Source organism: Homo sapiens, chromosome 12, assembly GCF_000001405.40.
Source record: "Homo sapiens chromosome 12, GRCh38.p14 Primary Assembly".
Lineage (NCBI taxonomy): Eukaryota > Metazoa > Chordata > Mammalia > Primates > Hominidae > Homo > Homo sapiens.
This window is the reverse complement of record NC_000012.12, coordinates 94,385,283-94,405,900: the sequence shown is the minus strand read 5'-3', so window position 1 is coordinate 94,405,900 and position 20,618 is coordinate 94,385,283. Positions and strand designations below refer to the sequence as shown.

The following is a 20,618-nucleotide window of genomic DNA, read 5'->3' as shown; positions in this document are numbered from 1 at the left end:
CAAGACTTTTTGTAGGTCTTCATAGTTGTCTTTCTGTGCCCTCTTTTCTCTGCTACCCTGTCTTAGGACTCTAACCACCCCACTGTCCTTGGATGCTCAGTTTCATCTCCTCAACTCAGGGAGTCCCTCATGACTGCATAGGTATCCTTTCCGGTGCCAGGTCCTGAAAACTCTCAAAGCTTATCTTCTATGTTTTGTGTCTCTCAGGGATCTGCCTTTTGCTTTCTTATGTCTAGTGTCTTGCAAACTGTTTAATTTTTGTCTGTTCTTTTGTTTGTTTCAGGCAAGAGAGCGAATCTGGGCTCTTATTCTATCTTGGCTGAAAGTGGAAGGCTTTTTACTTTCAGTTTAACTTTTGGTTTTGGAAATCTCAAACATGTAATGCATTCCCATGTACCCATCATCCAGCATTAATAATTATTCATTCTGAGCCAGGCTTGTTTTATCTACTACTTTCTCCCACCCACTTCCACTTTTTTCCTCAATGTTTCTGGATTATTTTGAATCAAATAATATTCTTTCAACAAATAATTGAGTATATATCTCTATAACAAATCAGTGCAGTCTGTCTTAAAAGCATAATCACAATACCTTTGCCATATTTAAAATACTTATTCATTAATACCTTTTAATATCCCACCTTTGTTCAGATTTTCTTAATTTTCCCATGGTTTTGCTTGCCTAGTTTTGAAGTTAGATCATTTGAAACAGGAGCCATGTAAGCTTTACCTATTAATCTCTTCCTTTTAATTGCTACCTCATCTTAGTTTGGACTCTTGATGTTGTCACCCAGACTTGATACTTGATACCGTAAACCAGATTATGACATGAGCTTTCTGTCTGGTTTCTTTGGCTCCATTTACTGCCTCTTCTTCCCACAGCTACAGCTACTCTCCCACTAAAGCTTTTGATTCATCTTGCTTCTTCGTAAAATATAGATATGGTAGTGTCACTCTTAAGCTTAAAAACCTTCAATAAATAAGGTACAGAAAAATATATGTACAATATCCTTTTTGTATAGAAATCAAAAGTGATATACATGCTTGTGTATCTGTAGATTGTTTTAGGAAGGGTACATAAGTTATTGACAATGATTGCTTCAATAAAAGGAAATTGGATTACTGAAGTGAGAAGACTTTTTAGTCTTTTGTTTGAATTATTTTATTTATGTAATTGTATATATTCATTTTAAATAAAATAAATTTTTAAAGTAAATACTATTGAATACTGAATAAATAATAAGAGTCTAAACCTGGTATTCAGGAACCTTTCACTCTTTGGCTGCAACCTAATTTTCCTTTTGTTTCCAGCCAGAGTGCAGCCCTCCAAGGTGGCATTTGGAAATGTTACAGTGTTTAGATATTTCTACCAGTGTGCATATAGGGTCCCACAATTTTAAATTTTCTGTAGTACTTAATGTGGTCCCATTCAAAATGGCTTTAACTCACCTTTGAGAATCACTTTTCTCCCATACAGTCTCTGACACCCAGGCAAATTAAAATGTTACCTGGCTTGAGTTTGGGTTCTATAAGCTTTCTATATAAGGGTTCTATATAAGCTTTAGTTTTCCCATTCCTTTGACGTGTCATGCCTTCTATCCTAAATGTGTTTTCTCTTTTTTACCTGTCTGGTAAGCCTGTATTGCCTACTTTTATAGTTATTTGTGTGTATGAGTTATTTTTAACACCAGAGTTTGAAGTTTTTATGGGGAGATATGTGCTTCATGTGAGTTTTTGTGATCTTTATAAAGTTATTTAGATACCTTGTGTGCCTCAGCATAGCTATACTGTGGCATTGTTGTAGGAATTAAATAAAGTAATGCATATAATGTGCTTAGAACAGGATGGTATGTAGGTTACAGTGCATTGTACAATGCTTTATATATAGTAAGCTCTCCATTCAGTAAAATGTAATATTTTGAATACAATATTTGGACTCTTCATAAAAAAGGAAACTGAACATTATCATTTTTATAGAAATTAATATACATGCAAACTTTAGATTTTTTTTTTTTTTTTTTACAACTAGTATTTGTTCCTCCTTCATTCATGAAATAGTTGAGTGGTTCCTATGTGCCAGACATTGGTGGGAGGTATTGGGAATACAACGGTGAATAAAGACTGTGTTTTCCCACATGGGACTTACATAAATATTTAATTACTTATTAAAATACGAGTTCTATAAAAGAGTGTGACAAGGAGAAGCCTAAATTAGGTACAGTGTGAGAGTAAAAATGAGCCTTTTCTAATTGAAAATAAGTCTGAAAGGTTCTCTTTGGTATAACAAATTGTTACACCTTTATTTTGCCTGCTTTGGAAAATAACTAGACTATTAGCCATTGTATACAACATGATAGTCTTAGCTGCCAACATAGTTATTCCTAACAATAGCAATAATAATCAGTAATTGTCTTTACTTCATGTTAATGGAATTTTTGACATCTCCAAGAGCCTGAAATTGAGATTCTTAAAGTATTATTTCAAATGATGATTCTATTTGTATAGTGATCACTGTAAAAAAACTATATTGCAAAAACTTTCATGAATTCCATTGTCATAATTAGGAGAGAGGCTTTGAAATATGGAGAATTCTTGATTTTAATGTGATTTTATATTGTTTGCATTTCTCTACATATTAGATATTAACTCCACAAAAATTGGAATTGCTAAGAGCCCAAATACAACAAGAATTAGAAACTCCAATGAGAGAACGTTTTAGGAATCTAGATGAAGTAAGTAACTTATGTTGTTTACTATGCATTTATCCTCATGGGATCAAAGTCTTGATGAAAAGCATCATTCCCCTACCCCAAAACCCTGCAGTAGTTCCCCCTTTTACTCAGTCATTGCAGTGGCCTCTAAGGCTTCACAGGATTGAACTCCCATTACCTCTCTGATCTCCTTTCCTTTTTCCACATTGGCCTACTGATGTTTCTTTGGCATTCCAGAATTGGTGCGTTTCTTTATTTTTATTTTTAATTTTATTTCTTTTTTAATTTTTTTGCGACAGAGTCTGGCTCTGTTGCCCAGCCTGGAGTGCAGTGGCGTGATCTCGGCTCACTTCAACCTCCGCCTCTCGGGTTCAAGCGATTCTCTTGCTTCAGCCTCCCAAGTAGCTGGGATTACAGGCACGCACCACCGTACCTGGCTAATTTTTGTATTTTTAGTAGAAACGGGGTTTCACCATATTGGCCAGCTGGTTTTGAACTCCTGATCTCAAGTGATCTGCCCGCCTCGGCCTCCCAAAGTGTTGGGATTACAGGCCTGAGCCACCATGCCCAGCCTAATTGGCACATCTCTTTTGCCTTGAATACTCTCCCTCCAGATACGTCGTGGCAAACTTCATCTCTTGTAAGTCTGCTAAAATGTCACTTTCTCAATGGGGCCTACTTTGACTGCTCCCATCTACCTATTTAATACTGCAACCTGCCTTTCCCATTACTGCTTAGACCTTTAGACCCCCTTACCTTGCTCTGTTTTTTATTTTTTTTTCTGGTATACATACCTTCTACTGTGCTGTATAATTTGCTTATTTATTGTGTTTATTTTCTGTTTTACCACCTCTAGAATGGAAGTTGCATGAGAGGAGGAACCTTTACCTGTTTTGTTCATTGTTATATTCCAAGTTCCTAGAACAGATTTTGGTATACAGTAGGTGCTCAATTAATATTTGTTGAAAGAGAGAATGAGTTTCATGCCACTTCATAAAAGTAAAAATCTGTTACAGTTTTACTTCAGGTTGAGACTAGTCTCCTTTGGTGAAGTGTTGATATAATATGACTAAATGCTTAATAAAGGGGACAGGATAAGACTGCAGATAACAAGTATATTAGATACTTGGTAGACATTTTATATATGTTACCTTATTTAACAAATATACCTGGCCTTATACATACAAATGATTATTGTCCCCTTCAAAATGGGCCCCTTTGGAGAGCTGTAGTCTAGTGATGCGGTAATTGCCCAAAACAGTTGTAGAATCGTCTTTTATAATGGCTTACTGGCTTGATAATATGATCTTTCTAATACAGTCCTAATGGCAAGCCATTATGGTTTGGGAGTAGGTTTAATTTTTGTAAATAAACAAGATCAGACCCAAGATAAGTGACCAAGTTCAATAAAAACTTTTTTTTTTAAATCAAAGCAAAGTATATCTGCAGTAAAATAATGAAACCCATTTTCTTGGTTTACAAACTGGCTTAGAAATCTTTGAACTAAAGATTTATGGTGAGCTGGGTATTTTAGGAGACATGCTTTCCTTGTTATCGAATTTCCTGTTAGTGTCTCCTGTATCTTTCTGCTTTGTGGCCTGAGTTTCTTGTTGGGTATTCAGAATGCCAGCAGCTTTCATAGAGTACTGTTAGGAAGCAGGATGAGAACACTCCAGGGAATTGCATGTGTTCCTGGTTAGTCAGTAGAGATGATGCTGCACGTATTCTTCAGGTTGGTCTGTTGAGTTAAACTATCATTGTAATATTTAATTAGATGTTAAAATGCTGTACTAAATATTACAATAACCTTACATCTCTTTTGAATTTGTTTTACTTATACTAAATTATACATTTAAAAAATCTATATTTTGAAAGGTGTGCTACATTCTTACATGTTATTTTATTTAAGTCCAGAGATCAACACTTTCCTCATACTATACACTTTATCATAATGAGAACCAGTGAAGAAATAAGATTAATTGAATGGTAATTTACTTTTTGGATATCTTTTCAGGAATGTACTACTTCTGTATGTAGGATACTTGTTATGAAGACCTTTCCAAATTCATTTGTATTTCTGTTAAATTTATTTTTTACTTTTAGAGTGGCTATCATTATAATGTAATTTAAAATTATATTTGTAAAAGTGACTATTGGAGTGAGTACGAATTTTGTTTATAAATCTATGATAAATGCATTCTCCCTTTAGGAGGTAGAAAAGTATAGAGCTGTATATAATAAGCTTCGCTATGAACATACATTTCTCAAGTCAGAATTTGAACACCAGAAGGAAGAGTATGCACGTATTTTAGATGAAGGAAAAATAAAATATGAATCAGAGGTAAGTGATTGATTATACGAGTTTCTTTGTTATTGTTCTGGTCAACACAATTTTATAATTATATATTTTTAAAAATTTCAAATTAGAGTCGATTGTATAGTTTTATTCATTAATGGTGGAGTATTCATCATGATTTTCATCAGCTTCGTATCAACAGTTTTTTTGTGAAAGTTCTGTTTTGGGTGTAGATCTTTTAAATTCTATTTATCCTTTATTTTGTCCAGCCAATGGAGATAGACAACTTTGGGGAGTTTCATTGTACAAAGTCTTTTGTCTTATGTAGCCACAGAGATGGACTTCTCTCTGCAAATATAGTTAGTGTGATTCCTTACTTAGCATTGTTCTTTCTGCTTCTTGGAACCAAACCACATATGGGAAAGCACTAGCTGTCAGCCTGTGCACTTTGATATAAACAAGGGGTTTATACCTTAAAGTGTACCCATCAACTTCAAGAAATAGACTTTGTTTTTTTCTGCCATTTGCAACTGGAATGTTCTCTTTATGCTGCCTACAGCATACATTCCCACTTCATCTCCATTGCTTTTGGCAGCCTTTCTACTCGTTTTGTGGTTTGTCTCCTAGTTTTGCCCAAAATGGGGTTTCTGTTTTTCATTGGTCGTGTTGCTTTTGGAATATTTTTCAAATTGAAAGAGAGGAATACTAATTTTATCCTGCCATATTCATAAAAAATAGGTTGGTATCTATAGTTATGTGAAATATTCTGTTTACAAACATATCTACATTTTAAATTTATTGCATTGTCTTTATTTAGAATTAAGAGTTAAAATATACTTACCTTCCTTTACCAATTACTAAATATTTACAGTGTTCTAGGCATCTAATAAAAACTAAAACTGTTCTATTTGGATCGGACTGATTTATTCTTATTAGTGAGCAAAGTGCCATGAGTGTTTCATCTGTAAGAAGCTATATGAACCTTGGAACATTTGTGTCCATTGACAGTGTAGTACCAGAACACTATAAATATTTATAATAGTTTTTCACATTAAAAAAAACTCTTTATAGCTTTAAGGCTTTAAGTGCTTTATTCACATATTATCTCACTTCTATTACAATAGTCAGTGAGATGGGGCTAGACTGTCTTATTTTCTTTGATTGATTGATCAAGAGGAGGTCTTGCTCTGTGGCCCAGGCTGGAATGCAGTGGCGCAATAATAACTCACTATAACTTCAGCTCAAGTGATCCTCCTGCCTCAGGTACCCAAGTAGCTAGGACCACAGGCATGTACTACCTCACCTGGCTAATAAAACAAACAAATAAACAAAAAATACAAAAACTCTTGTAGAGATGGGGCCTTGCTATGTTGCCCCAGCTGATCTCGGACTACTGGCCTCAAGTGATCCTCCTGCCTCAGCCTCTCAAAGTGCTGGAATTAGAGGCATAGACTATCGTGCCCAGCCCTTATTTTCTTCATTTTAAATGAATAAACTAAGGCACAAGATAAGTGAATTTATTGGGGGAACCCACCCCCAATATTTCAATGTAGGTTCTTTCTATTTTCTGTAAGTGTTGGCCGGCTGAGAAATAAAGAGTACAAAGAGAGGAATTTTACAGCTCGGCCCCTGGGGGTGCCGTCACATATTGGTAGGACTGTGATGCCCACCTGAGCCTCAAAGCCAGCAAGATTTATTAAGGATTTCAAAAGGGGAGGGGGCATAAGAACAGGGAGTAGGTCACAAAAAGATCACATGCTTCAAAGGGCAAAAAGGAGAACAAAGATCAAAAGGCAAAGGGCAGAAACAAAGATCACAAGGCAAAGGGCAAAAGCAGAATTACTGATAAGGCTCTATGTTCAGTGGTGCATGTATTGTCTTGATAAACATCTTAAACAACAGAAAACAGAGTTCGAGAGCAGAGAACTGGTCTGACCCCAAATTTACCAGGGTGGGGTTTCCCAATCTTAATAAGCCTGAGGGTACTGCAGGAGACCAGGGTGTATTTCAGTCCTTATCTCAACCGCATAAGACAGACACTCCCAGAGCAGCCGTTTATAGACCTCCCCCCAGGAATGCATTCCTTCCCCAGGGTATTAATTATTAATATTCCTTGCCAGGAAAAGAATTTAGCGATATCTTCCTTATTGCATGTCTGTTTATAGGCTCTCTGCAAGAAGAAAAATATGGCTCTATTTTGTCTGACCCCGCAGGCAGTCAGACCTTATGGTTGTCTTCCCTTGTTCCCTGAAAATCGCTGTTATTCTATTCTTTTTCAAGGTGCACTGATTTCATATTGTTCAAACACACGTTTTACAATCAAATTTGTACAGTTAACACAGTTATAGTGGTCCTGAGGTGATGTACATCCTCAGCTTATGAAGATAACAGGATTAAGAGATTGAAGTAAGACAGGCATAAGAAATGATAAAAGTATTAATTTGGGAACTGATAAATGTCCATATTAAAATGAAATCTTCATAATTTATGTTCCTCTGCCATGACTCCAGCCGGTCCCTCCATTTGGGGTCCCTGACTTCCCACAACATGAATTGTTCAAAGTCTCAGAGAATGTCAGCAGCCAGGTTATAGTAGAACTCAGATATACCAACTCCCAGCCCACAGCCTGTTTTGTTTTAGTCAGTTCCCTTATTGTTTTTATTTAATGCCATTATATTATATTTGCATATGCCATAACATTTACAAAATGCCCATTCTCTCCAGCTTCGGCTTAAGAAGGAGTGGGGGAGACCATACATATGCTAAGTCCATGTTCAATGTTGTACTCCTACACTTTGCACAAAGAAGAATTTGTAATCTTCCACCCAGACCCTCAAACCCACAAACCAGTCCACCACTCGTATTCTATATGCCCTATACCTGAGTCTCGACAGTGTGTGGTCAACACAAAACCTGGACCTTACCCATTCGAAGGTGACCGGCAGTTTGAAGTTGCCACTCTGATTATGGGCCATCCAGCAACTGCAATTTTGTTAAATAGCTGGTAATATATACACTACATGTGGTATGAAGGGTTTTGAATCCATAATTATGATAGACTTAAAGGAATTGCATGTAAAAATTTGTGGAAAATAGGAATGATAAAGATTTCTAGCCTAAAACGAAGATTTAGTATATTGAAGAGAAAACCCTAAGGTTTCATATAGTGGTGCTTTATTTTGTACTTTCCTTTTAAAATCTAATGATGATACTTATCTGGTAAGGATTATTTGTATTCTCTAGTTTCTTAGTTTTGTTGTTTTTGAAATAGTGAAACCTGCATTCGAAATCTGATGACTAATCTATTTTTCACTTATGAAGGACTAAGTGATTCTCATTAAAATTTTTAAGGGGTTGGTATAGTCATTAATTTATCATTATTATTATTATTATTTTTGAGATGGAGTCTTGCTCTGTCGCCCAGGCTGGGGTGCAGTGATGCAATCTCGGCTTACTGCAGCCTCTGCCTCCCAGGTTCAAGTGATTCTCCTGCCTCAGTTTCCCGAGTAGCTGGGATTCAGGCAGGTGCCACCATGCCTGGCTAATTATTGTATTTTTAGTAGAGATGGGGTTTCACCATGTTGGCCAGGCTGGTCTCAAATTCCTGACCTCAAGTGATCCTCCCACCTCAACCTCTCAAAGTTCAGGGATTACAGGTGGTGAGCTACCACATCTGGCCATCATTAATTTTCATATGTGATGTTTTATGATAGTCTTAAGAATCTGAAGATAAACTGCAAGTTAAGAAGCCATAATTAGTAGAGGGTGGAAAAATAAGACTGAAGTTTCTTTCATTTTACTTCCCAATTGATTATGTAGGAGCAGTATTACTGAGTGTATAATTGTGGATTTACTTTTGTTCAATCACCTTCATACTTCATTTTCTATATACAAAAACAGTAAAACCTGGTGAGATGATTGTGGATCATGAAACAGCAAATAGTTTCAAATATACTTTATAGAAACAACAAATTTAGTTTGAAAACTTCAAAGTAGAGCTGAATCTTGTCATCTTCCAATTTTACAATTTAAACTAGTGTAAAAGGGATTCATGTAATAAAAATAATTGGATTTTCTTGTGTTAATTAGGACTTACACAGTACTTGCACATTTTTACTTACACAGATGAAAGTAACAATATTATTTAGTGTGTTGGTTCTTAGGGGAATACTTTAGGAAGATTTTTAAAGTTTTTCCTGAGAGGGACTCCAGGAATACACATGTCCCTGATGATATTATAAACTAAAAAGAATATATGAAATAATATGTGAAAGAACATATCTCATCTTACGAATAAATACAGTGTTGGCCAGGTGTGGTGCCTCATATTTGTAATCCCAGCACTTGGGGAGGCTGAGGCGGGTGGATCACGGGGTCAGGAGATCGAGACCATCCTGGCTAACACAGTGAAACCCCGTCTCTACTAAAAATACAAAAAATTAGCCTGGTGTGGTGGCACGCACCTGTAGTCCCAGCTACTCTGGAGGCTGAGGCAGGAGAATCGCTTGAACCCAGGAGGTGGAGGTTGCAGTGAGCCAAGATTGTGCCACCGCACTCCAGCCTGGGTGACAGAATGAGGCTCTGTCTCAAAAAAAAAAAAAAAAAAAAAAAAAAGTCATGCTTTTTCATGTGACTGTAAGAACATATTAAGTCTGGGACTTCATACAGGTGAAATGCTGAAGTTGCATATATAGTCATTATTCAAAAGTGGGACTATTTTGTTTTTATTATATTAGGACTCATATTTTCTGGAAATAGTAATGACAATACAGAGTTGTAGGCGCAGGTAATTATAATGGTAGACTGAGTGAAATAATCAATGGTAATTCAGTGGAGACAAAATACTAAGATCTCAGGAGAGAGGGAGGGACGAGGAGCACTACATCCTGTGAAAAACCATCAAAGTGACAGTCCATAATGACAGGTCACTGAGTTTCTTCCATCATGCTTCGCAAACTGGTTGTGCTCTTCCTTGGCTTTATGTGTCAGGTGAGGAGCCAAAGTTCCTATGGCAAAAAGAGAACTCCCCTGGTTCCCTGGAAATGCTGGGGTTTATTTCTTCTTTTTTTTTCTTGAGACAGAATCTCACTCTGTCCTCCAGGCTGGAGCGCAGCGGCGCCATCTTGGCTCACTGCAAGCTCTGCCTTCTGGGTTCATGCCATTCTCCTGCCTCAGCCTCCCGAGTAGCTGGGACTACAGGCACCCACCATGCCTGGCTAATTTTTTTGTGTTTTTAGTAGAGACGGGGTTTCACTGTGTTAGGCAGGATGGTCTTGATCTCCTGACCTCATGATCTGCCCACCTTGGCCTCCCACAGTGTTGGGATTACAGGCGTCCCGAGTCACCACACCCAGCCAAAATATGAACTTTAAGTATGTAAGTAATTTAAGTGATATTTTCTTCATGTAAGGAATGACAAAATATTTTTGTATAAAACATGCCATCATTAATTTAGGAAAAATAAATTATAGTACATAAAAGGGAAAAAGAGGAAACTCATCATAATAGTGATTATTTTTTTTTTTAATTTGTTACTTTTTCATATGTCTGATTTTTTTTTATTATACTTTAAGTTCTAGGGTACATGTGCACAACGTGTAGGTTTGATACATAGGTATACATGTGCCATGTCGGGTTGCTGCACCCATCAACTCATCATTTACATTAGGTATTTCTCCTAATGCTATCCCTCCCCCAGGCCCCCACCCCCTGACAGGCCCCAGTGTGTGATGTGTCTTTATAGTAGCATAATTTATAATCCTTTGGGTATGTACCCAATAATGGGATTGCTGGATCAAATGGTATTTCTAGTTCTAGATCCTTGAGGGATTGCCACACTGTCTTCCACAGTGGTTGAACTAATTTACACTCCCACCAACAGTGTAAAGCATTCCTATTTCTCTACATCCTCTCCAGCATCTGTTGTTTCCTGACTTTTTAATGATTGCTATTCTAACTGGCGTGAGATGGTATCTCATTGTGGTTTTGATTTGCATTTCTCTGATGACCAGTGATGATGAGCATTTTTACATGTGGCTGTTGTCTGCATAGATGTCTTCTTTTGAGAAGTGTCTGTTCATATCCTTTGCCCACTTTTTGATGGAGTTGTTTGTTTTTTTCTTGTAACTTTGAGTTCTTTGTAGATTCTGGATATTAGCCCTTTGTCAGATGAGTAGATTGTAAAAATTTTCTTCCATTCTGTAGGTTGCGTGTTCACTCTGATGGTAATTTCTTTTGCCATGCAGAAGCTCTTTAGTTAAATTAGATCCCATTTGTCAATTTTGGCTTTTGTTGCCATTGCTTTTGGTGTTTTAGTCATGAAGTCCTTGCCCATGCCTATGTCCTGAATGGTATTGCCTAGGTTTTCTTCTAGGGTTTTTATGGTTTTAGGTCTAACATTTAAGTCTTTAATCCATCTTGAATTAATTTTTTTACAAGGTGTAAGGAAGGGATCCAGTTTCAGCTTTCTACATATGGCTAGCCAGTTTTCCCAGCACCATTTATTAAATAGGGAATCCTTTCTCCATTGCTTGTTTTTATCAGGTGTATCAAATATCAGATGGTTGTAGATGTGTGGTATTATTTCTGAGGCCTCTGTTCTGTTCCATTGGTCTATATCTCTGTTTTGGTACCAGTACCAAAAGCTGTTTTAGTTGCTGTAGCCTTGTAGTATAGTTAGAAGTCAGGTAGCGTGATGCCTCCAGCTTTGTTCTTTTGGCTTAGGATTGTCTTGGCAATGCAGGCTCTTTTTTGGTTCCATATGAACTTTAAAGTAGTTTTTTCCAATTCTGTGAAGAAAGTCATTGGTAGCTTGATGGGGATGGCATTGAATCTAAATTACCTTGGGCAGTATGGCCATTTTCACGATATTGATTCTTCCTATCCATAAGCATGGAATGTTTTTCCATTTGTTTGTGTCCTCTTTTATTTCGTTGAGCAGTGGTTTGTAGTTCTCCTTGAAGAGGTCCTTCACATCCCTTGTAAGTTGGATTCCTAAGTATTTTATTCTCTTTGTAGCAATTGTGAATGGGAGTTCACTCATGATTTGGCTCTCTGTTTGTCCGTTAATGGTGTATAGGAATGCTTGTGATTTTTGCCCATTGATTTTGTATCCTGAGACTTTGCTGAAGTTGCTTATCAGCTTAAGGAGATTTGGGGCTGAGATGATGGAGTTTTCTAAATATACAATCATATCATCTGCAAACAGGGACAATTTGACTTCCTCATTTCCTAATTGAATACCCTTTATTTCTTTCTCTTGTCTGGTTGCCCTGGCCAGAACGTCCAACACTGTTGAATATGAGTGGTGAGAAAGGGCATCCTTGTCTTGTGCTGGTTTTTAAAGGAAATGCTTCCAGTTTTTGCCCATTCAGTATGATATTGGCTGTGGGTTTGTCATAAATAGCTTTTATTATTTTGAGATACGTTCCATCAATACCTAGTTTATTGAGAGCTTTTAGCATGAAGTTCTGTTGAATTTTGTCAAAGGTCTTTTCTGCATCTATTGAGATAATCATGTGGTTTTTGTCTTTGGTTCTGTTTATATGCTGGATTATGTTTATTGATTTGCATATGTTGAACCAGCCTTGCATCCCAGGGATGAAGCCCGCTTGATCATGGTGGATAAGCTTTTTGATGTGCTGCTGGATTTGGTTTGCCAGTATTTTATTGAGGATTTTCGCATCAATGTTCATCAGGGATATTGGTCTAAAATTCTCTTTTTTGTTGTGTCTCTTCCAGGCTTTGGTATCAGGATGATGCTGGCCTCATAAAATGAGTTAGGGAGGATTCCCTCTTTTTCTATTGATTGGAATAGTTTCAGAAGGAATGGTACCAGTTCCTCTTTGTACCTCTGGTAGAATTCAGCTGTGAATCCATCTGGTCCTGGACTTTTTTTGGTTGGTAGGCTATTAATTATTGCCTCAATTTCAGAACCTGTTATTGGTCTATTCAGAGATTCAACTTCTTCCTGGTTTAGTCTTGGGAGGGTGTATTTGTCCAGGAATTTATCCATTTCTCCTAGATTTTGCAGTTTATTTGCATAGAGCTGTCTATAGTATTCTCTGATGGTAGTTTGTATTTCTGTGGGATCGGTGGCGATATCCCCTTTATCATTTTTTATTGTATCTATTTGATTCTTTATTAGTCTTGCTAGCAGTTTATCAATTTTGTTGATCTTTTCAAAAAACCAGCTCCTGGATTCATTGATTTTTTTGAAGGGTTCTTTGTGTCTCTATCTCTTTCAATTCTGCTCTGATCTTAGTTATTTCTTGCCTTCTGCTAGCTTTTGAATGTGTTTGCTCTTGCTTCTCTAGTTCTTTTAATTGTGATGTTAGGGTGTCAATTTTAGATCTTTCCTGCTTTGTCTTGTGGGCATTTAGTGCTATAAATTTCCCTTTACACACTGCTGTAAATGTGTCCCAGAGATTCTGGTACATTGTGTCTTTCTTCTCATTGGTTTCAAAGAACATCTTTATTTCTGCCTTCATTTCGTTATTTACCCAGTAGTCATTCAGGAGCAAGTTGTTCAGTTTCCATGTAGTTGCGTGGTTTTGAGTGAGTTTGTTAATCATGAGGTCTAATTTTATTGCACTGTGGTCTGAGAGACAATTTGTTGTGATTTCTGTTCTTTTGCATTTGCTGAGGAGTGCTTTAGTTCAATTATATGGTCAATTTTAGAATAAGTGCAATGTGGTGCTGAGAAGAATGTATGTTCTGTTGATGTGGGGTGGACAGTTCTGTAGATGTCTATTAGGTCTGCTTGTTGCAGAGCTGAGTTCAAGTCCTGTATATCTTTGTTAACCTTCTGTCTCGTTGATCTGTCTAATATTGACAGTGGAGTGTTAAAGTCTCCCATCATTATTGTGTGGGAGTCTAAGTCTCTTTGTAGGTCTCTAAGGACTTACTTTATGAATCTGGGTGCTCCTATATTGGGTGCATATGTATTTAGGTTAGTTAGGTCTTCTTGTTGAATTGATCCCTTTGCCATTGATCCATTTACCATGGCCTTCTTTGTCTCCTTTGATCTTTGTTTTAAAGTTTGTTTTATCAGAGACTAGGATTTCAACCCCTGCTTTTTTTTTTTGCTTGATCTACCTTTGCTTGGTAGATCTTCCTCCTTCTGTTTATTTTGAGCCTATGTGCGTCTTTGCACGTGAGATGGGTCTCCTGAATACAGCACACTGATGGGTCTTGACTCTTTATCCAATTTGCCAGTCTGTGTCTTTTAATTGGTGCATTTAGCTCATTTACATTTAAGGTTAATATTGTTGTGTGTGAATTTGATCCTGTCATTACGATGTTCGCTGGTTATTTTGCCTGTTAATTGATGCAGTGTCTTCATAGCATCGATGGTCTTTACAATTTGGCCTGTTTTTGCAGTGGCTGATACCGGTTGTTTCTTTCCATGTTTAGTGCTTCCTTCAGGAGCTCTTGTAAGGGAGGCTTGGTGGTGACAAAAATCTCTGAGCATTTGCTTGTCTGTAAAGGATTTTATTTCTCCTTCACTTACGAAGCTTAGTTTGGCTGGATATGAAATTCTGGATGGAAAATTCTTTTCTATAAGAATGTTGAATATTGGCCCCCTCTCTCTTCTGGCTTGTAGGGTTTCTGCCGAGAGATCCGCTGTTAGTTTGATGGGCTTCCCTTTGTGGGTAACTCAACCTTTCTCTCTGCCTGCCCTTAACACTTTTTCCTTCATTTCAACCTTGGTGCATCTGAAAATTATGTGTCTTGGAGTTGCTCTTCTCGAGGAGTGTCTTTGTGGCATTCTCTGTATTTCCTGAATTTGAATGTTGGCCTGCCTTGCTAAGTTGGGGAAGTTCTTCTGGATAATATCCTGAAGAATGTTTTCCTGCTTGGTTCCATTCTCCCTGTCACTTTCAGATACACCAGTCAGACGTAGATTTGGTCTTTTCACATAGTCCCATATTTCTTAGAGGCTTTGTTCGTTTCTTTTTGCTCTTTTTTCTCTAACTTTGTCTTCTCGGTTTATTTCATTCATTTGATCTTCAATCACTGATGCCCTTTCTTCCACTTGATTGAATCAGCTATTGAAGCTTCTGCATGCATCACGAAGTTCTCGTGCCATGGTTTGCACTCCATCAGGTCATTGAAGGTCTTCTCTACACTGTTTATTCTAGTTAGCCATTCATCTAATCTTTTTTCAAGGTTCTTAGCTTCCTTGCGATGGGTTCGAACATCATCCCTTAGCTTGGAGAAGTTTGTTATTACTGACCTTCTGAAGCCTACTTCTGTCAACTTGTCAGAGTCATTCACTGTCCAGCTTTATTCCATTGCTGGCGAGGAGCTGCCATCCTTTGGAGGAGAAGAGGCGCTTTGATTTTTAGAGTTTTCAGCTTTTCTGCTCTGGTTTCTCCCCATCTTTTTGGTTTTATCTACCTTTGGTCTTTGATGTTGTTGACCTAAAGATGGGGTTTTGGTGTAGGTGACCTTTTTGTTGATCCTGCTGCTATTTCTTTCTGTTTGTTAGTTTTCCTCCTAACAGTCAGTTCCCTCAGCTGCAGGTCTGTTGGAGCTTGCGGGAGTTCCACTCCAGACCCTGTTTGCCTGGGTATCACCAGCAGACGTCACAGAACAGCAAATGTTGTTGCCTAATCCTTCCTCTGGAGGCTTCGTCCCAGAGGGTCAGCTTGCCTATGTGAGGTGTCTGTTGGCCCCTACTGAGAGGTGTCTCCCAGTTATGCTACACGGGTGCCAGGGACCCACTTGAGGAGGCAGTCTGTCCATTCTCAGAGCTCAAATGCTATGCTGGGAGAACCACTGCTCTCTTCAGAGCTGTCAGACAGGGATGTTTAAGTTTGCGGAAGTTGTCTGCTGCCTTTTGTTCAGCTATGCCCCACCCACAGAGGTGGTGTCTAGAGGCAGTAGGTCCTGTTGAGCTGCAGTGGGCTCCGCCCAGTTCGAGCTTCCTGGCCGTTTTGTTTACCTACTCAAGCCTCAGCAATGGGGGACACCCCTCCCCCTGCCAGGGTGCCGCCTCGCAGTTCGATCTCAGACTGCTGTGCTAGCAGTGAGCAAGGCTCCGTGGGCGTGGGACCCACCGAGCCAGGCATGGGAGAGAATCTCCTTGTTTGCTGGTTGCTAAGACCTTGGGAAAATGCAGTATTTGGGCAGGAGTGTCCTGTTTTTCCAGGTAGTCTGTTACAGCTTCCCTTGGCCAGGAAAGGGAAATACCCCGACCCCTTGCACTTCCCGGGTGAGGTGATGCCCCGCCCTGCTTCAGCTCACCCTCTGTGGGCTGCACTCACTGTCCACCAGTCCCAGTGAGATGAACCAGGTACCTCAGTTGGAAATGCAGAAATCACCCATCTTCTGCGTCCATCACACTGGGAGCTGCAGACCGGAGCTGTTCCTAGTTGGCCATCTTGGACCAACCGTCTCCTATTGTTTTCTTAAGTAATATAAAAAGTTAATGTAATAATTTAAAAACTAAGATCTGGGAACTTGAAACTTAATGTGCAAAATACTTACCATAATGCCTGACACATAGTAGATACTTAATTAATGGTATTAGTATCATTCATACCTCACAGTTATTATCATGGTACCAATTAACATAATAAATATACAGATACTTTTAAGTTGATTTCAGATTTGTAAATCAGAATTTACAGAAGTTGAAGAAGTGAAAGAAAGAAATAGAGACAGGAGACCCATTTACCTTTAATTTATTCAGTGAAACACTTTATATATAGTTTAAAGATTATTACATATTTATTTCATGGCATTTTCTTTCTTTCTTTTTTAAGACAAAGTCTTACTCTGTTCCCCAGGCTGGAGTGCAGTGGCGCGATCTTGGCTCACTGCAACCTCTGCCTCCTTGGTTTAAGCAATTCTCCTGCCTCAGCCTCCTGAATAGCTGGGAGTATAGGTGTGCATCACCACACCCAGCTAATTTTTCTATTTTTAGTAGAGGTGGGGTTTCGTCATGTGGGCTAGGCTGATCTTGAACTCCTGACCTCAAGTGATCTACCTACCTCAGACTCCCAAAGTACTGGGATTACAGGCATGAGCCACTGCACCCAGCCACATTTTTTTTCAATTTAGCAAAATCACTATACTCTTGTAAAGAAGCTTTTTACATGTTTGTTTTCCATTAATAATAACACACAGAATTAAAATGCAATTGTATTCAAAATGTAAAAAGTGAAATGTATTTTCATCAAAAGCACAAATTAAAGTCAGTGTAAAAAAAAGTTTCCAAATTATTTTCTCTTTTCACTACTTGTAATACTTTATTCTACTTAACTTTTCTTTTTTTAAAAAATAATTTCAAGTTTTATTTTAGATTCAGGGGTTACATGTGTAGATTTGTTACACAGGTGTATTGCATGATGCTGAGGCAGAACTTTGGGGTAATAAAGATTCCGTCACCTAGATACTGAGCATAGTGCCTAATAGGAAGTTTTTGAGCCCTTTCCCCCTCATCCTCTCCCCTCTCTGGTAGTCCCCAGTTCTATTGTTCCCATCTTTATGTCCATATGTAGTCAGTGTTTAGCTCCCACTTACAAGTGAGAACATGTGGTATTGGTATTTGGTTTTCTGTTCCTTTGTTAATTTGCTTTGGATGATAGTCTCCAGCTGTATCTGTGTTGCTGCAAAGGACAAGATTTCATTCATTTTTATGGCTGTATAGTATTCCGTGGTGTATATGTACCATATTTTCTTTATCCAGTTCACCATTGATGGGAACCCAGGTTGATTCCATGTTTTTGCTATTGTGAATAGTGCTGTGATGAACATATGAGTGTGTGTGTCAATTTAATAGAATGATTTACTCTCCTTTCAGTATATACCCAGTAATGGGATTGCTGGAATGGTAGTTCTATTTTTAGTTATTTGAGAAATCTCCAAACTGTTTTCCACAGTGGCTGAACTAATTTACGTAGCCATCAATAGTGTATAATGTTCCCTTTTTTCTGCAGCCTTGCTAGCATCTGTTATTTTTTTTTTCCTTTTAGTAATAGCTATTCTGACTGGTGTGAGATGGTATCTCATTGTGTTTTTTAATTTGCATTTCTCTGATGATTAGTGATGTTAAGCATTTTTTTCATGTTTGTTGGCTGCTTATATGTCTTCTTTTGAGAAGTGTCTGTTTATGTACTTTGCCTACTTTATTATGGGGTTGTTTTTTCCTTGTTGAGTTATGTAAATTCCTTATAGATTCTAGATATTAGAACTTTGTCAGATGCATAGTTTGCAGGTATTTTCTCCCATTCTGTGGGTTGTCTGTTTACTCTGTTGATAGTTTCTTTTGCCAAACCAAAGCTCATTAGTTTAATTAGGTCCCAGTTATCACTTTTTGTCTTTGTTGTAATTGCTTTAGAGCAGTGGTCCCCAAAGTCCCTGGTGCCATTTGACACTGGGGACTGGTTTCGTGGAAGACAATTACTCCATGAACCAAGGCTCTGGGAGGAATGGTTTCAGGATGAAATTGTTCCACCTTAGATCATCAGGCATTAGGGCATTAAATTCTCATAAGGAGCATGCAACCTAGATCCCTCAGATGTGCAGTTCGCAATAGGGTTCACACCACTATGAGAATCTAATGCTCCCACTGATCTGACAGGAGGTAGAGCTCAGGCAGTAATGGTCGCTCACCTGCTGCTCACTTCCTGCTGTGTGGCCCCATTCCTGACAGGCCATGGACTGGTAATGGTCCATGGCCTAGGGTTTGGGGACCCTTGCTTTAGAGGGTCATAAATTTAGTCATAAATTTTTTGCCAAGGCTAATGTCCAGAATGGTATTTCCTAATTTATCTTGAGTTATCTTTTGGGTGTGGTTAAAAGTAGAGATCCAGTTTCATTCCTTTGCATATGGCTAGCCAGTTTTCCCAACACCAGTTATTAAATAGGGAGTCCTTTCCCCATTGTTTGTTTTTGTCAACTTTGTTGAGCATCAGATTGTTGTAGATATGCAGCTTTATTTCTGGTTACTGTATTCTGTTCCATTTGGCTGTGTGTCTGTTTTTGTACCAGTATCTTTATATATACTTTTAAAAAATCATCTCAACAATGCTAGGAGTTAGATAATCATCTTCATTTTATAAATGAGAAGATAAAAACACTGAGAGACTGGCCCAAGGTTGCACAACTAGTATATGGTCAGGATTCAAATCTAAGTAGTCTGGGGATTTCTGCTTCTGGCTAGGATGGAATAGGGATGGAATTTACTTTAAGGCGTTTACTGAAAACTGGGACAAAAATAGGAAACCACAGTTTTCAGACATTGGAAAATAGGCAGCACAGGGCAGATCTGAGGGAAGGAAAACAAATGATAAGAGCTCTATGATTGCCCCATCTTAGGTTCTGGAGAGTTTCCAGGCCACTGTGCAGAGATAAAAAACCTAAATTGAGCTACATGATCTTTGAGCTGAGGAGTTGGAGTTCAGAATTTGAGAGGCCAAGGAAACTAGAATTTGAAAAGCAGAGTATTGCAGAGCTCCAGAGTTCTGCAGAGGGTAACTTTGCAGTATTGATTAGCGCATGTGTGGAGGAAACTATACAAGGCCAGAGAAAGAAAATTATTTAGGTGGGACAGTCTCTAGAGTTCACATGGGACTGGGAAAATTTATTTTTCCGTTAGACAGAGTGGAAAGATACTCTTAATGCATAGTACTTTGAGTAGAAATCTCAGAAGGATTTTGCCTCAGTAGCAGGGCCAAATTAGCCATAGACTAAAGGCTATTCTGGTTCTGGTTAACAAGAATAAAAGTAAGATTTGAAAAGATCAGACTGTTTCTAAGTACAGTAACGTGTAGCTTAATGACAGGGATATGTTCTGAGAAATGTGTCATTAGGCGATTTTGTCATGTGCAAACATCATGGACTATACATATATGCACCTAGATGGCACAGTATACTACATACCTATCCTATATGGTACAGCCTATTACTCCTAGGCTACAAACCTGTAAAGCATATCACTGTACTGAATACTGTAGGCATTGTAACATAATGGTTAATATTTGTGTACCTAAACATATCTAAACATAGAAAAGGTTTAAACAGTAAAAATACAATATTATACTCATGGGACCCCTGTCATATGTATGTGGACTGTTGTTGACTGAAACTTCATTATGTGGCTCATTACTATATCTTAGCTGCATTCCAGAATGAAGATTCAGAAATAAGTAAAGGAAAACAAAGAATCCAGCTCTGAAAAAAACATTAAATTCACAATGTCTGACATCCAATCAGAAATGACTGGGCAGCCCAGGTGGGTTCATTGGTGAACTCTATCAGCCATTTAAGGGAGAATTTATGTTAATTCTCTATAATCTCTTCCAGAAGACAGAATCAGAGGAAATGCCTCCTAACTCATTCTACAAGGCCAGCATTATCCTAATACCAAAACCAGACAAAGACATCTTCACCTGGGTAATAACAAGGGCTCCCATCCTCTGCCATGCTGTCACTAGAGACAGTATGAGGAGCTTGGACATCCACTCTCAACTGGCAGTAATGAGGTACCCTGCCCTCATCCTGCTCTGACATGACATCCTGGGTCATGTCAGAGGAGGCCTAGTACAGGGTCAGGACTTTAACCACTACCCAGCTGCGTGTTATCAATGGAGGCCACATCTG

At 38.2% G+C, this 20,618-nt stretch overlaps 1 protein-coding gene across 36 annotated transcripts in view; it reads left to right on the top strand.

Moving 5' to 3' along the window:
* CEP83 (centrosomal protein 83) overlaps window positions 1–20,618 on the top strand; it is a 194,793-nt gene that overhangs the window by 54,554 nt on the left and 119,621 nt on the right. For 27 of the 36 annotated variants that reach the window (XR_007063082.1, XR_007063081.1, XR_007063083.1 and 24 more), the window contains 2 exons: window positions 2,639–2,731; window positions 4,920–5,051. The exons of 2 other annotated variants lie outside the window; for them this stretch is intronic. Coding sequence is in view for 25 of the 34 variants with exons in the window: in XM_047428923.1 (XP_047284879.1) it covers window positions 2,639–2,731; window positions 4,920–5,051 (225 nt within the window). In the remaining 9 variants the exon portion in view is untranslated. Of the gene's footprint in view, window positions 1–2,638; window positions 2,732–3,009; window positions 3,351–3,566; window positions 4,697–4,919; window positions 5,052–20,618 lie in introns of those variants that run through there. 7 more of the 36 variants (NR_144441.2, XM_024449007.2, XM_047428926.1 and 4 more) reach the window with 5 other exon arrangements.